This window comes from Homo sapiens, chromosome 5 (genome assembly GCF_000001405.40).
Source record: "Homo sapiens chromosome 5, GRCh38.p14 Primary Assembly".
Taxonomy (NCBI): domain Eukaryota; kingdom Metazoa; phylum Chordata; class Mammalia; order Primates; family Hominidae; genus Homo; species Homo sapiens.
This window is the reverse complement of record NC_000005.10, coordinates 72,790,748-72,806,976: the sequence shown is the minus strand read 5'-3', so window position 1 is coordinate 72,806,976 and position 16,229 is coordinate 72,790,748. Positions and strand designations below refer to the sequence as shown.

Sequence of the window (16,229 nt, the reverse complement as noted above, 5' to 3'; positions counted from 1 at the left end):
AAAGAGTCAAGACCCATTGGTGTGCTGTATTGAGGAGACCCATCTCACGTGCAAAGACACACATAGTCTGGGGATCAATGCAACAAGAAGAGCTAACTATCCTAAATATATATGCACCCAATACAGGAGCACCCAGATTCATAAAGCAAATTCTTAGAGACCTCCAAAGAGGCTTAGACTCCCACACAATAATAGTGGGAGACTTTAACATCCCACTGTCAATGTTACACAGATCAACAAGACAGAAAATTAACAAGGATATTCAGGACTTGAACTCAGCTGTGGACCAAGCAGAGCTAATAGACATCTACAGAACTCTTCACCCCAAATCAACAGAATATACATTCTTCTCAGCACCACATCACACTTATTCTAAAATCGACCACGTAATTGGAAGTAAAACACTCCTCAGCAAATGCAAAAGAACAGAAATCATGACAAACAGTCTCTCAGACCACAGTGCAATCATATTAGAACTCAGGATTAAGAAACTCACTCAAAATCACACAACTACACGGAAACTGAACAACCTGCTCCTGAATGACTACTGGATAAATAATGAAATTAAGGCAGAAATAAGTTCTTGGAGACCAATGAGAACAAAGACACAATGTACCAGAATCTCTGGAATGCAGCTGAAGCAGTGTTTAGAGGGAAATTTATAGCACCAAATGCCCACAGAAGAAAGTGGGAAAGGTCTAAAATCAACACTCTAACATCACAATTAAAAAAGTTAGAGAAGCGGGGGCAGGCAGATTCAAAAGCTAGCTGAAGACAAGAAATAACTAGGATCAGAGCGGAAGTGAGGGAGATAAAAACACGAAAAACCCTTCAAAAAGTCAGTGAATCCAGGAGCTGGTTTTTTGAAAAGACTAACAAAATAGATGGACCGCTAGCTGGATTAATAGGGAACACAGGAGAGAAGAATCAAATGGACACAATAGAGAATGATGGAGGGGATGTCACCATTGATCTCACAGAGATACGAACTACCGTCAGAGAATACTATAAACACCTCTGTGCAAATAAACTGGAAAGTCTGGAAGAGGTGGATACATTCCTGGATGCATGCACCCTCCGAGGACTAAACTGGGAGGAGGTTGAATCCCTGAATAGATCAATGACAAGTTCTGAAATTGAGGTCGTAATTAATAGCCTGCCAACCAAGGAAAGCCCAGGACCAGACAGATTCACAGCCAAATTCTACCAGGGATGCAGAGAGGAGCTGGTACCATTCCTTCTGAAACTGTTCCGAACAATGGAAAAAGAGGGACTCCTCCCTAGCTCATTTTATGAGGCTAGAATCGTCCTGGTGCCAAGACCTAGCAGAGACACAACAGAAAAAGGAAATTTTGGGCCAGTGTCTCTGGTGAACATTGATTTGAAAATCTTCAGTAAAATGCTGGTGGGCCGAGTTCAGCAGCACATCAAGAAGCTTATCCACCATGATTGGGTCAGCTTCATCCCTGGGGTGCAAGGCTGGTTCAACATAAGCAGATCGATGAACGTGGTCCATCACATGGGCAGAGCCAGTGACAAAGGCCACATGATCGTCTTAGTGGATGCGGAGAGGGCCTTTGATGGAGTTTGGCACCCCTTCATGCAGGAAACTCTCAATAAACTAGGTATTGATCATATGTATCTCAAAATAAAGGGTGCTGTTTATGACAAACCCACAGCCAATGTCATGCTGAATGGTCAGGGGCTTTGAAAACCAGCACAAGACAGGGGTGCTCTCTCTCACCACTCCTACTCAACATAGTATTGGAAGTTCTGCCCAGGGCAATCAGGTAGGAGAAAGAAATGGGGGGTGTTCAGACAGGAAGAGAGGAAGTCAAATTGTCTCTGTTTGCAGATGACATGATTGTGTATTTGGAAAACCCCATTGTCTCAACCCGAGATCTCCTTAGGCTGGTGAGCAATTTCGGCAAAGTCTTGGGATACAAAATCAATGTGCAAGAATTGCAGGCATTCCTATACACCAATAATAGACAAACAGTGAGCCAATTCGTGAGTGAACGCCCATTCACAATTGCTACAAGGAGAATAGAATATCTAGGAATACAATTTACAGGGGATGTGAAGGACCTTTTCGAGGAGAGCTGCAGGCCACTGCTCAATGGAGATAGGAGAGGACACAAATGGAGTGTTTCAGGCTCATGGATGGGAAGAATCAATATTGTAGAAATGGCCGTACTGCCCAAAGTGATTTATAGATTCAATGCTGTCCCCATCAAGCTACCGTTGACTTTATTCACAGAATTAGAAAAAACTACTTTAAATTTCATATGGAACCAAAAAGGAGCCTGTATAGCCAAGACAATCCCAAGCAAAAAGAGCAAAGCTAGAGGCATCATGCTACCTGACTTCAAACTATACTACAAGGCCACAGTAACCAAAACTGCATGGTACTGGTACCAAAATAGATATATAGGCCAATGGAACAGAACAGAGGCCTCAGAAATAATGCCACATATCTACAACCATCTGATCTTTGACAAACCTGACAAAAACAAGCAATGGGGAAAGGATTCCCTATTTCATAAATGGTGTTGGGAAAACTGGCTAGCCATATGTAGAAAACTGAAACTGGACCCCTTCCTTACACCTTATACAAAAATTAACTGAAGATGGATTAAAGACTTAAATGTAAGACCAAAAACCGTAAAAACTCTGGAAGAAAACCTAGGCAATACTATTTAGGACATAGGTATGGGAGAAGACTTCATGACTAAAACACCAAAAGCCATGGCAACAAAAGCCAAAATTGCCAGATGGGATCTAATTAAACTAACGAGCTTCTGCACAGCAAAAGAAACTATCATCAGAGTGAACAGGCAGCCTACAGAATGGGAAAAAATTTTTGCAATCCATCTGACAAAGGGTAATATCCAGAATCTACAAAGAACTTAAACAAATTTACAAGAAAAAAATCAAACAACCCCATCAAAAAGTGGGCAAAGTATATGAACAGACACTTCTCAAAAGAAGACATTTATGCAGCTAACAAGCATATGAAAAAAAGCTCATCATCACTGATCATTAGAGAAATGCAAATCAAAACCACAGTGAGATAGCATCTCATGCCAGTTAGAATGGTGATTATTAAAAAGTTAGGAAACAACAGATGCTGGAGAGGATGTGGAGAAAAAGGAACACTTTTACGCTGTTGGTGGGAGTGTAAATTAGTTCAACCATTGTGGAAGACAGTGTGGCAATTCCTCAAGGATGTAGAACCAGAAATACCATTTGACCTAGCAATCCCATTACTGGGCATATACCCAAAGGATATAAATCATTCTACTGTAAAGACACATGCTCACGTATGTTTATTGCAGCACTATTCATGATAGCAAAGACTTGGAGCTGATTCAAATGCCCATCAATGATAGACTGGATAAAGAAAATATGGCACCTATACACCATGTAATACTATGCAGCCATTAAAAAGGATGAGTTCATGTCCTTTGCAGGGACATGGATGAAGCTGGAAACTATCATTCTCAGCAAACTAACACAGGAACAGAAAACCAAACACTGCATGTTCTCACTCATAAGTGGGAGTCGAACAATGAGAACACATGGACACAGGGAGGGGAACATCACACACTGGGGTCTGTCTGGGGGTGGGGGGCTGGGGGAGGGATAGCATTAGGAGAAATACCTAATGTAGATGATGGGTTGATGGGTGCAGCAAACCACCATGGCATGTGTATACCTATGTAACAAACCTGCACATTCTGCACATGTATCCCAGAACGTAAAGTATAGTAAAAACAAACAAACAAAATAACAAAACATAAATATCTACAACATTGTATTTTGACTGGCAGAATGGATTAGAAAATATGAACTGCGTATATGCTTTCTACAAGAAACTCACTTCAAGTATAATAATAGGCAAGTTGAAAATAAAAGAATGAAAAAAGATATATGATGTAATAATTAACCAAAAGAAAGTAGGAGTGGCTATATTGATATCACATAAAGCATACTTCAGAGCAAAGAAAAGTACCAGAGTCAAGGAGAGATATTATGTAATAATATAGGGTCAGTCCACCAAAAAGACACAGCAATTGTAAATGTGTCTGCACCAAATAACAGCTGCAAACTAGTGAAACAGGAAAAGTTCCGTTGTCCCCCTCTCAGGTCATGCAATGTGGGTGTGGCTTGCTTCTTCATTCCCTGCTGATCAAACCTCTAGAGGAGCATACAAATGGGCAAGCTGTGGGCCTCCGACCCCATGGCAGTGTCTAGGGGTGAATGTTTATAGCTGAACCCCCAGTGGGCATGTGTTACAGGGTGCTTTTTTAGTTTAGCCATCCATAGGTGGCTTGTATTAGCTCAATTAGGCTCCTGCCTTATCGCAAAGACAGAGGGCTTTCTGTATCCCAGGGTTCTTGCCTTGGTGTACCAGAAGAATCAGATCACACACGGGCTTGGAGAATGTGTGGAAGGTTTTATTGAGTGGGAAGTAGCTCTCAGCAGATGGGGGAGCCAGAAGGGAGATAGTTTTCTCTTGAAGTTGGGGTGCTCGGCAGCCCAGGGTCTCCATTGATTGCCACGGCCAAACTCTGCCTTGTTCTGCTGGTCGATGGCATGCTGGTGCCTGTCATGTGCTCTTCTGCCAGTGTGCTCCCTCGCATTCCTCTTGCCGTCCAGCTGCTTGTGTGCCTCCCTGCTCGAATCTCGAGAGTTTTTATAGGCACAAGATGGGGGTGTGGTGGGCCAGGGTGGTCTTGGGAAATGCAACATTTGGGTATGGAGTCAGGAGTGCCTGTCCTCACCTAGGTCCACAGGGACAGGGCCAGCAACTAAGCCCTTGCCAGGGACCTGCCCTTCCCTTCCCAGCACTTCCTTGCCCACTTCTGTATCACTAGGTGAACTGATAGTACTAATAGGAGAGATAGGCAAATCCACAATTATAGTTAGAGACTTCAGCACCTCTTAATAGTTTATAGAACAACTAGATGAAAAATCAGCAAGAATACATAAGAACTCAACAATACCACCAGCCAAAAGGATTTAATCAACATTTATAAAATACTCTACCCAACAACAGCAGACTTAACATTCTTTTCAAGTGTTTATAGAACAAATGTCAAGATAGACCATATCCTTGTTATAAAACAAAGCTCAATAAATTTCAAAGAATTGAAATTATATAGTGTTTTTTTACCATAACAAAATCAAACTAGAAATCAGTAACTGCAAAATGTTCTCCAAACATTTGTAAACTAAACAACACACTTCCAAATAACCTATGGGCCAGATAATTCTGAAGGGAAATTTAAAAATATATTGAACTGAATCAAAATGAAAATATAACATATAAAATTTTATGACACAGCTAAAACAGGGCTATAAGGGAAAGTTATAGCATATGTTAGGTTAAATTTAAGTGCATTTATTAGAAATGATGAAAAGTCTCAAATCAATAATCTAAGACAATAAATGTAATTTACTCTTATATCTCTTTACTGTCTCCTTTTTATAATTGTCTTAAATGTTTCCTCTAAATACATTTAGAATCACATCAGATAATGTGATTTTTCAGCCATCAAACGTAATTTAGAAAACTCAAGGGCCAGGCGTGGTGGCTCATGCCTGTAATCCCAGCACTTTGGGAGGCTGAGGCGGGAGGATCACGAGGTCAGGAGTTCAAGACCAGCCTGGCCAACATGGCGAACCCTGTCTCTACTAAAAATACAAAAATTAGTCGGGCGTGGTGGCGGGTGCCTGTAATCCCAGCTAGTCAGGAGGCTGAGGCAGCAGAATTGCTTGAACCTGGGAGGTGGAGGTTGCAGTGAGCCAAGATCATGACATTGCACTCTAGCCTGGGTGACAAGAGCAAGACTCCATCTCAAAAAAAAAAAAAAAAAAGAAAAAGAAAAAAAAAAGAAAAGAAAACTCAAGAGAAGGAAGCTTGTTGTATTTAGGCATATTTTTGAGTAAAGTATTTTTTCTTAGTTATCAAAGTTCCTAAATTGCTTCTTTTGTAATGTACTTTCTGTTTAGATTTTTTTTAGTCATTCTTTTAAAAGAAGTCTGCTAGTGACAAAATCTCTTAGTTTCCTTTCATCTGAGAATGCCATTATTTCCCCCTTCCCACCCCAAGAACCTAGAAAAAGAAAGAAAAACCAAAAGCAAGTGAAGAAACAGAATTAATAAAGGTAGAAACAGAAATTAATGAAGTTAAAAACAGAATAGAGAAAAATCAATGAAACAAAAAGCTTCTTTGGAAAAAAATTAAAATCAACAAACGTCCATCTCTTTTTCTTATGAACAAGAAAGAAGAGAGGAGACATGAATTACCAAACTCAAGAATGAAACAGAGGATATCACTACAAACCCTGCAGATATAAAAAAGATGATAAGGGAATAGTAAAAACAATTCTGCACGCAAAAATCTGACAACTTAGATGAAATGGATCAATTCCTTAAAAAGCACGAATGACTATAGTTTGCCCAAAATGAAATAGATAATTTGAATTATATAACTATTATATAAATGTAACTATTAAGAGAATTGAATTTATAATTTTAAAACTTCTTGGAAATAAATATCAAGGCCCAGGTGGTTTCACTGGACAATTCTACCAAACATTTAAAGAATTAACATCAATTACATATCTTTTCCAGAAAAAAAAGAGAGGAGGGAGCATTTCCCAATTCATTTTATGTAGCTACTCTCACCCTGTTATCAAAACCATACAAAGACAACATAAAAAGGAAATCTTCAGGCCAATATTTAATGAACATGAACTCAAAAATTCTTAACAAGATGTTAGCAAACAGAATTCAACAATATATAAAAAAAATTACATACCATGAAAAAGTGATTTTTTTTAATGGATGCAAGTCTAATCCAATATTCAAAAATCAGTCAACATCATTAGCCATTAGAGAAATGCAAATTAAGCCACAATAAGACATCACTACACACCTATCTGAATGTCTGGAATTTAAAAAATAAGTGACAGCACAATATCTGGCAAGAACTCAGAGAAACTGAATCACTTATACATTGCTGTTGGGAAAAAAACGAAACATGTGATTACCCTTTGACCTAGCCATTGTTAGAAGAGTTATCAAAGAAATGAAAGCTTATTTTCACAGAAAACCTGTACATGAGTGTTTATAGCAGTTTTATTTGTAATATCTAAAAACTGGAAACAACCCAGATGTTTTTCAATGAATGAAGAAAGAAAGTGTGGTACTTCCATAACCAAGGAATATTACTCAGAAATAAAAAACAGACAAACAATTGATACAAACAACAACCGGATAAGTCTCTAGAGAATTTTAAGGGAAAAAGAGCCAATCCATGGTTCCCCTAGCAAAGGCCATTCCCTGTACATTATGTCCCTCCAGCCTTCTCTCTCCTGACTTCTTCAACCTCAAGTGACACATATTACCAATTTACCATTTAATCTCCTTCCTTTTGCATCTTCACAATGCAACTCTGATTTTCTTTTTTCTTCTTTAAGAAGTAGTGAGCACAAGAGTTAAAGGCAAAGCATTAATGCCAGGTGTATCTAGGCTCAAATCTTGGCTTTGCCATCATGGAGACATCAATTGGCCTTTGGAAGCCTTGGTTTCCTCATCTGTCTGATAAGAATAAAAATAGTACCTATCTTCTAAGGTTGTTGAGAGGATTAAATGAGCCTGTGCATGTAATGGACTTGTCACAGTGCCTAGCTCAAAGTAAGCACTCAACTAAATGCCAACTATGATTATTTTTATTCCTTGGGGTGAATAATAATTTGTTCTAGGTGAATTGAAAATAATGCCAATTCTACTAACATTATTAACAGTATAGCCAAAATGGAGGAATGCAAACTTTTTTCTTTAGAAATGTCTCAGTATTGATAAATGTTTTGAGTGAAAACATTAAATAAAGATGAGTTGGGCATATTGTTTAATCCCAACAAAGCAAAACTAGTGGCAAATAATGGCAAAACTTAATGAGAATGCTATCTAAAGGTATCTCAATTTTAGATCTTTTGTTGAAAGGCATGGGGGTAAAAGACTGAGTTAGTCTTCTCTTATATCTTGCATGATACTAATCCGGGTTAAAAATCAGTTTTCTTCTATTGCCTGCATTCTTCACCCACCCCCCCGCCAAGTTCTTTTTCTTCTGATCATTTTTGTTTATGCCTTTGATTTTGGAGGCTTTCTTTAAGTATCTGGTGAGGCTCGGTTCTCCATTCAGAAATATTTAAGAGTAAGGCACCGAAAAGCTGTTTGGAAGCTGTGTTGTAATGAGGAACTTGTAGACAGGTGGGCATCTCTTGAGGGATGTGGGACATTAAGACAGCTTTTGTGTTGAGGGACTTTCTGGGTCTCCATAGAAGGCTCCTCTGATGTCTTGATTGGGAGGAATAAGAATGATTCCTTGTGTCGTGGCACCTGGAAGGAGTTATAGGGCTAGAAGTGGAAGGTTGATTATGACTAATTAGTCCCTTATTTTCTGGCTGGTGCCTCATCCCTGCTCTCTGTGTTCCTGGAGCCCTCAAATCTGGGGCCTCACTGGTTCAAATGCCATAGAAAATAAACCTCCTCCTTCCCGAAGGGTGAGACAAGAGTAGTTAGCTGGCTTCATAAGGTAGGGCTCCAGTGCTCTTTTCAACTGGTTCTCCCTCTGTCAGTCCCACCCTGCATCTCTGCCTTTTCTGTACCTCCAATTCCTGAGCCCTTCTCGAGCTTTATGGAGAGAATCAGCGTACTTCAGTATGGTATTAGGAACTTTGATTTCAGGTTTCTCTGCTCTTCTAAGAGCAGAATTTGGAAAAAATAGAAGAGTTCCATTTCCAAAATTTAGAAAAAATGGAAGACATTTACTCTCAGTTTTAGGTGCTTTCAGAAGAGAGAAGTGACAAAAATATATGTAGTAGCTTAAACCAAAATATTTGATACTACTCTAAAAATACTTTTTAATTTTTTTTTTTTTTTTGAGACGGAGTTTCGCTCTTGTTGCCCAGGCTGGAGTGCAATGGCGCAATCTCGGCTCACTGCAACCTCTGCCTCCCGGATTCTCCTGCCTCAGCCTCCCGAGTAGCTGGGATTATAGGCATGTGCCATCACGCCTGGCTAATTTTGTATTTTTAGTAGAGACAGGGTTTCTGTATGTTGGTCAGGCTGGTCTTGAACTCCCGACCTCAGGTGATCCACCCCCCTCAGCCTCCCAAAGTGCTGGGATTACAGGTGTAAGCCACCGTGCCCAGCCTAAATTCATTTTATTTTTTAAGAGACCAGATAGGCTGGGCGCCATGGCTCATGCCTGTAATCCTAGCACTTTGGGAAGCCAAGGCCAGTGGATGGCGTGAGCTCCGGAGTGAGACCAGCCTGGGCAACATAGTGAACCCTACCCCTACAGAAAAAAACGTACAAAAAATTAGCCCAACTTGGTAGTGCGACTGTGGTCCCAGCTACTCAGGAGGCTGAGTTGGAGGATCACCTGAGCCAGGCAGGCCAAGGCTGCAGTGAGCCAAGATTGTGCTACTGCACTCCAGCCTGGGCAACAGAGCAAGACCTGGTTTCTATTCCTGGTTTGTTTGTTTTTTTTTTGAGAGACAGGGTTTTCTCTGTTGCCCAGACTGGAGTGCAGTGGCACAATCATAGCTCACTGTAGCCTCAAACTTCTGGATTCAAGCGATCCTTCTGCCTCAGCTTCTCAAGTAGCTGGGACTACAGGCACACATCACCATGTCTGGCTAATTAAAAACATTCTTTTTTTTTCATTTTTGTAGGGACTGTGGTGGAAGGTTGTGGAGAGTGTCCCACTTTATTGCCCAGACTGGTCTAGAGTTCCTGGGCTCAAATGATCCTCTCACTTCCAAAAATGTTGAGATTACAGGTATAACCCACAGTGCCCAGCCTGATACTACTTTTTAGAGCCATTAAATGATATTCTAAACATGGTTTCATTTTTAATTTTGATTGTAAGAAAAAAAGTAGTTCCGTGTGTGACTATATGTAATTTTGAGTTAGCAGGTTTACAACTAGAATTAAATATTTTAAACATTTAGTTTCAATTTCATTAATAATTTAGAAGTCACTTATAATTTTATTATAATTACATGTGGAATAACATGTAATTGGTCCAAATAATCTGCCATATCATTTTTCATGTTTTGTATGTCATGAAAATTCTGCACAAAATTAATTTATACATGAATTCACAGCTTTCATAAAAAGAGACATTCTATCCAGAAAAGTGTATGTTCTCAAACCTAGATTGTTATAGCAAAATTTACAGATTAAAAAGTCAAGATTCCTATATACATATCTCTTAAATTATCCCTGGAGATAGAAACCAAATAAGGGCAATAGGAAAGTCTGTTTATAATTTTTAATTTCTGTACCAGAAATTCTGGAGTCATAATATCCAAGCATCAATGCTTTCCACCAAACCATGGAGCCTTTCTGCTATGAAGATGACTTCCAAACTTTTAAAGTAACGAAAGATTTCCTTATGAAGTTTTCCCTTGGGGTCTGAAGTCATACCTATGCTGGACTGGCTTCTTTTTCTCTTCCTCTGCATTTTTAGTTCAATTTCAACTGCACTTCTCAGCTATTACCTCTGTTTTGTCCTTAGTATTCACTGTTTTTCTTCCTTTAAGAGTCAATAGATTGGCAGTTTGTCAAAAGACCAATTTGTGATTCCGTATGTTATGCTTTTCTAGCACTCCTGTCAGGGAAGATTTAAAGAATTCTAAAATGAGAACTGTCTCTTTTCTAGTTGGCCTGAAGTGTAAGTGGTAATTTGGATTTGCTTTGCCCATACTGGTAATGATTGTACAGTTAGAGAAATGAATTTTAAAGCATGAAAGCTCTGCCTCCATTTCACAGGGCTTGTGTTGCCCGTGGGGAAAAACATATCTCACGGTCCCTTAGGACTAAACAGAAGGAAGGCTTTCTAATCTGGGAAGTGGATTTTTTCTGAAGGCATACATATTTGCATAAATTACAAAGAAAAATCATTAGGCATTTTATTATGAAGAATATATAAGTTGATAAGACATCTACAAAAATCAAAACAAAGGAAAATTTCAACAATAGTTGTGGATAAGCTATTAATTTCTGTCCCTTAACACCTTTCCCACTTCCTCATTAACTCTTTTCTCTATGCTGGTTAGTCATATTTATGACTTTTTGCTCAAATAATTTGTATTCTTTCCTCAGAAGTGTGTTCTGATATATGGAGTGCATAATTACTTTGTAATTCTTGTGGATATAATACTGGAATTTGACTGCTGAGGAAGTAGGAGGCCATCACATTGCTATGTCAAGGATTTACCATGATTCTAGTATATCTTAAGTTGTTTTAATCTAAAAGATTATTTCTCTCAAATTATCACACATCTTTTATTTTTTCTCTCACTTCAAGATCTGAGAAGCTGAAATTAAGGCCCATCTTACAGGTGCAACAAAAATCTATATATAGTTTACATAGTGTCTAAGATCCTGTAAAATCTTCTTTAACAGACAACTGTACTACTCTGTGCAATGGAATCTGAAGGAGAAGGGCTCAGAAGTGACAGATTCAAGGTGAAAATATCTCTAAGCCACACAGATCAATTTTTGCTAGAGAAAGTACATCTTATACTAGTTAAGCTAATGGGAAAATTTCAATTTAAAAGGAAGGAGTAATGTGAGCAGATAACTCAAGGCACTCTCATAGAAGTCACAGAGATGAACAGGGCTATGGGAAAAGTAATCATACCTGCTGGGAAGATTACCTGAAGATGAGAGATTTCATCTTATTAGAAGTTGCATTCTTTTAGATTTATTTATTTTTATTTATTTATTTTTTTTTCGGGGGAGAAGGCACCAAACAAGACTCTGACCAGCTTAGGCAAAAGGAAGAACTTATATAAAGTATACTGAGACGAGTTGAACAAACTGCTCTACAGATAAGAAGCCAGCTAGCCTAGGGACCAGCAATATTAGATTCTCTGCTTGCTTCTTTTTTCTGTAGACCATCTTTTCCATGGGAACATATCTGCCTAGCACACCAAGGTTTTCACTTTATGGCTTCAAGAATGAGAGACCAACTTGCTTTCCATATTTTTTCCTATCCAAGACCCAAATTCCTGAGGATGGGACTCACTGGCTCTGATTAGGTGAGGTATCCACACCTGGATCACACAGATGATTAGCTGTGGCCAGGAGGAAGGGTCACATTATAGCTGCACTATGATGGGAGGATGAAAAAGAGAGGGAGGAGCAGTTCCTAGAACAAGCAGAGAAGCTAGAGAGACTACCCCAGAGTTTTCCATTGCAGAGGTACTACTCCAAATCATATGATTTGTGAGATTTAATTGGAAGAAATGACTTGATGTTTGGATACAAAAATTCCACTATCCCATCATCATATTTTGATAAGATAGCAGTACCTAAAGGTTTACTTTAACAATTTAGATATGAGTAGTTTATTAATATTAATTTTATATATTTCTCTAATAGGTTATTCATTTTAAATTGCAGCTGGAGGCATCGACAAATCTAATGCAGTAACCTCATTTTACAGAAGAGAACTCTAAGAGGATAACTAACTTGGCCAAGATCACATGGTAAATAGTGAAAACATCTGGGCTGGAATCCAGGTGTTATTTTTTATCTAGTGCTACTATCTTGATCTCATTATTTGTTTAGAAATACTTTATCTTTTGCCAAAAATATATAACAATTATGGGTTCTTATATGTACAATCTTTGAATCGAAGTATACATAAATCCCAGGTCTCCCAGTGTCCATTAGCAGCAAGACTTAGAGGAGGTCAGAACGTTAGCTCAGAAACTGAGGAACGTGAATTCTATGTAGTACTCTGTGCTGAGTGAAAGGCCACTTCTGCACAGAGATGACTTGCAAAGAAATCTGCAGGAAAAGCCAGGATTTAGGAAGCAGCTTTGGATTCTATTAGCTCCAGGATAGTACTGTAATGCTAGATCAGGGTGTATCACAATTTAATATTGCAAAGATGATCTGACCAATAAAGATTTCAAAGCAAGCATTACCAGTAAGGGTGCCATGCATAGAAGACGGACAATAACATGTAAACCAGTGGCCCCCAACCTTTTTGGCACTAGGGACCGATTTTGTGGAGGACAGTTTTTCCAGGGACTGGAGTGGGGGCTGTGTAGGGGGGTGTGGGGGTATTGGGGGTGTGGGAGTGTATGGGTGAGGTGGGTAGGAGGGTGGTTTTGGGATGAAACTGTTCCACCTCAGATTATCAGGCATTTGATTCTTATAAAGAGTGTGCAACCTAGATCCCTCATGGTTTTGGGATGAAATTGTTCCACCTCAGATCATCAGGCCTTAGATTCTTACAAAGAGTATGCAACCTAGATCCCTCACATATGCAATTCACAATAGGATTCGTGCTTCTATGAGAATCTGATGCCGCTGCTGATCTGACAGTAGGCAGAGCTCAGGCAGTAATGCTTGCTTGCCTCCTGCTGTGCAGCCCAGTTCCTAACAGGCCACGAACCAGTACCAGTCTTCGGCCAGGGAGTGGGGGACCCCTGATGTAAACAAACAAGTTAATTCAAAATAACAATAATAACTGCCATGAACAGAGCAAAATGAAGGATGTGATAAAGAGTGAGAGGGGAGGCTACTCAAGATTGGGGAATCAGGGAAATTCTCTCTCTAAATCAGTGAATGATTCAATGAAAAGGAAACTCAAAAATCACAGATCAGTAACTTCAATAATAAAGCCATATGTCAATAAAAGCCTCTAACAACATTTGATAAAATTCAAAAATCCAGTTTTAAAATACGTTAAGTTAGAATATAGTTTTGCTATTTTATTACATCAAAAAAGGAAAAACTAAGAGTTTAAAGTTTTATAAAGGGTAGAACAAATCTAGAAACATTTTCCTTTAAAAAATGAACAAAGCAGCTGGGTACAGTGACTCACGCTTGTAATCCCAGCACGTTGTGAGGCAAAGGCGGGAGGATCACTTAAGGCCAGGAGTTTGAGACCAGCCTGGGCAACACAGTGAGACCCCTGTGTCTGCAAAAAATTAAAAAACTAGCTGGGCGTGGTGATGCATACCTATAGTCCCAGCTACTTGGGAGGCTGATGTGGGAGGATCACTTGAGCCCAGGAGGTCAAGGCTGCAATGAGCTGTGATCGTGCCTCTGCATTCCAGCTTGGGCAACACAGCAAGACCCTGTCTCAAAAAAGGAAAAAAAAAAAAAAGTAAACAAAGCAAAAGGCTGTTTGTTATCATTATTTTCCAATTTAATGCTGAAAATTCTTTTAATCATGGTAGGTCCTCCAAAAGCAATGAGAATTAAATATTGGGAAAAGAGGAAACAAAGTTATTTGAAGAAATAGAAGACCCAAATTAAGCCATCCCCACTTGCAACAAAACTATTAGCAAAATCAAAAACATTCAGTGAAACGGGCAAATACAAGATAAATCTGCAAACACCTGTATCTTCCCTAAATATCAGGAATAGCCAACTAGAAAAGTTAATTGAAAGGAGATCTTATTCACAATGTCAGCAAATGATAAAATATATGGAAATTAATGTGGAATGTTGAAAGCTATAAACTGTGAAAGGAAAATAATCTTGGGACCCTCAAATCACTAAGCTAAAGGGAAAAGCCAAGCTGGAAACTGCTTAGGGCAAACCGGCCTCCCATTTTTATTCAAAGTCACCCCCTCTGCTCACTGAGATAAATGCATATCTGATTGCCTCCTTTGGAGAGACTAATCAGAAACTCAAAAGAATGCAAACATTTTTCTCTTATCTACCTATGACCTGGAAGCTTCCTCCGTGCTTCGAGTTGTCCTGCCTTTTCTAGATGGAACCAATGTTCATCTTACCTATGTTGATTGATGTCTCATGTCTTCCTAAAATGTATAAAACCAAACTGTACTCTGACCACCTTGGGCACATGTCATCAGGACCTCCTGAGGCTGTGTCACGGGCATGTGTCCTCAGCCTTGGCAAAATAAACTTTCTAAGTTAACTGAGACCTGTCTCAGATTTTTGGGGTTCACAAAAATGTAAAAACTTAAATGAAATAATTTTTAAAAACCCAAATGAAAGCAAAGACATAGTATGACTATGAATAGTAAAGAAAATATTTCCCAAATTAATGTATAGATTTACCATATTCCTATTAAAAACCAAAGAATACTTTATAGAACTCAATAAAATGATTCCAAAACTGTTTTCCAAAATAAATGGGCAGAATTTTCATATAGTACTCTAAGAGAAGAAAAATTATAAGGAAGAACTATTCTTGTTAGATACTAGGATTTTAAAAGAAATGAGTGGAAATGATATGGAATGAGTTTAAAAAATGAAGAGGTAATTGAACAGATAGATAGCCTAGTTTACATAGATGTTAAAGATATGATGAAGTCAGCTTATGCAAGTAATGAAGTAATTAAGAAAAGAACCATGATTTAAGAACTAGTAAGAAAACCAACAGGGCATGGTAGCTCATACCTGTCATCCCAGCTGTTTGGGAGGCTGAGGCAGGAGGATTGCTTGAGCCTAGAGCTTAAGGGTTCAGTGAGCCACTGCACTCCAGCCTGGGTGACAGTGAGACGCTGACTCTAAAAACAACAACAACAACAACAACAACAAACAGCATGGGTTGGAAACTTAATCCTCAATGCAGTAATGTTGGGAGATAAGACCTAATGGGAGATGTTTATTTTCCACCCTCATGAATGGATTACTGCTGAATAAAAAGGAGTTGAGGCTTCAAGTTTGATCTCTTGCTTGCTAACATGCTCTCTTATCTTTCTGCCCTCTACCATGGGATAACACAGAAAGAAGGCCCTTGACAGATGCTGGCCTCTCAACCTTGGACTTCATATCTTCCAGAAATGTAAGAAATACACTTTTTTTTGGTTTTTTTTTTTTTGAGACAGGGTCACTCTGTCACCCAGGCTGAAGTGCAGTGGCACGATCATGGCTCACTGCAGCCTCAACTCCTGGGCTCAAGTGATCCTCCCACATCAGCCTCCCAAGGAGCTAGGACTACCTGGCTAATTTTTCTTTATGGTAGAGGTGGGGTCTCACTATGTTGCCCAGGCTGGTCTCAAATTCCTGGGCTCAAGTGATCCTCCCAACCTTCGCCTCCCAAAGTGCTGGGATTACAGCATGAGCCACTGTGTCCAGCCAAATTTCTTTTCTTTATAAATTACCCAGTTTGTGGTATTTTTCTATAGCAACAGAAAATGGACTAAGAC

General features: G+C 39.1%; 1 long non-coding RNA gene across 20 annotated transcripts in view; it reads left to right on the top strand.

Moving 5' to 3' along the window:
- Positions 1–16,229, top strand: part of TNPO1-DT (TNPO1 divergent transcript) — a 245,434-nt gene that overhangs the window by 9,572 nt on the left and 219,633 nt on the right. For 18 of the 20 annotated variants that reach the window (NR_186516.1, NR_186514.1, NR_186515.1 and 15 more), the window contains exon 2: positions 12,493–12,578. This is a non-coding gene — a long non-coding RNA (TNPO1 divergent transcript). Of the gene's footprint in view, positions 1–12,471; positions 12,579–16,229 lie in introns of all 20 variants that reach the window. The other 2 variants (NR_186527.1, NR_186526.1) reach the window with 1 other exon arrangement.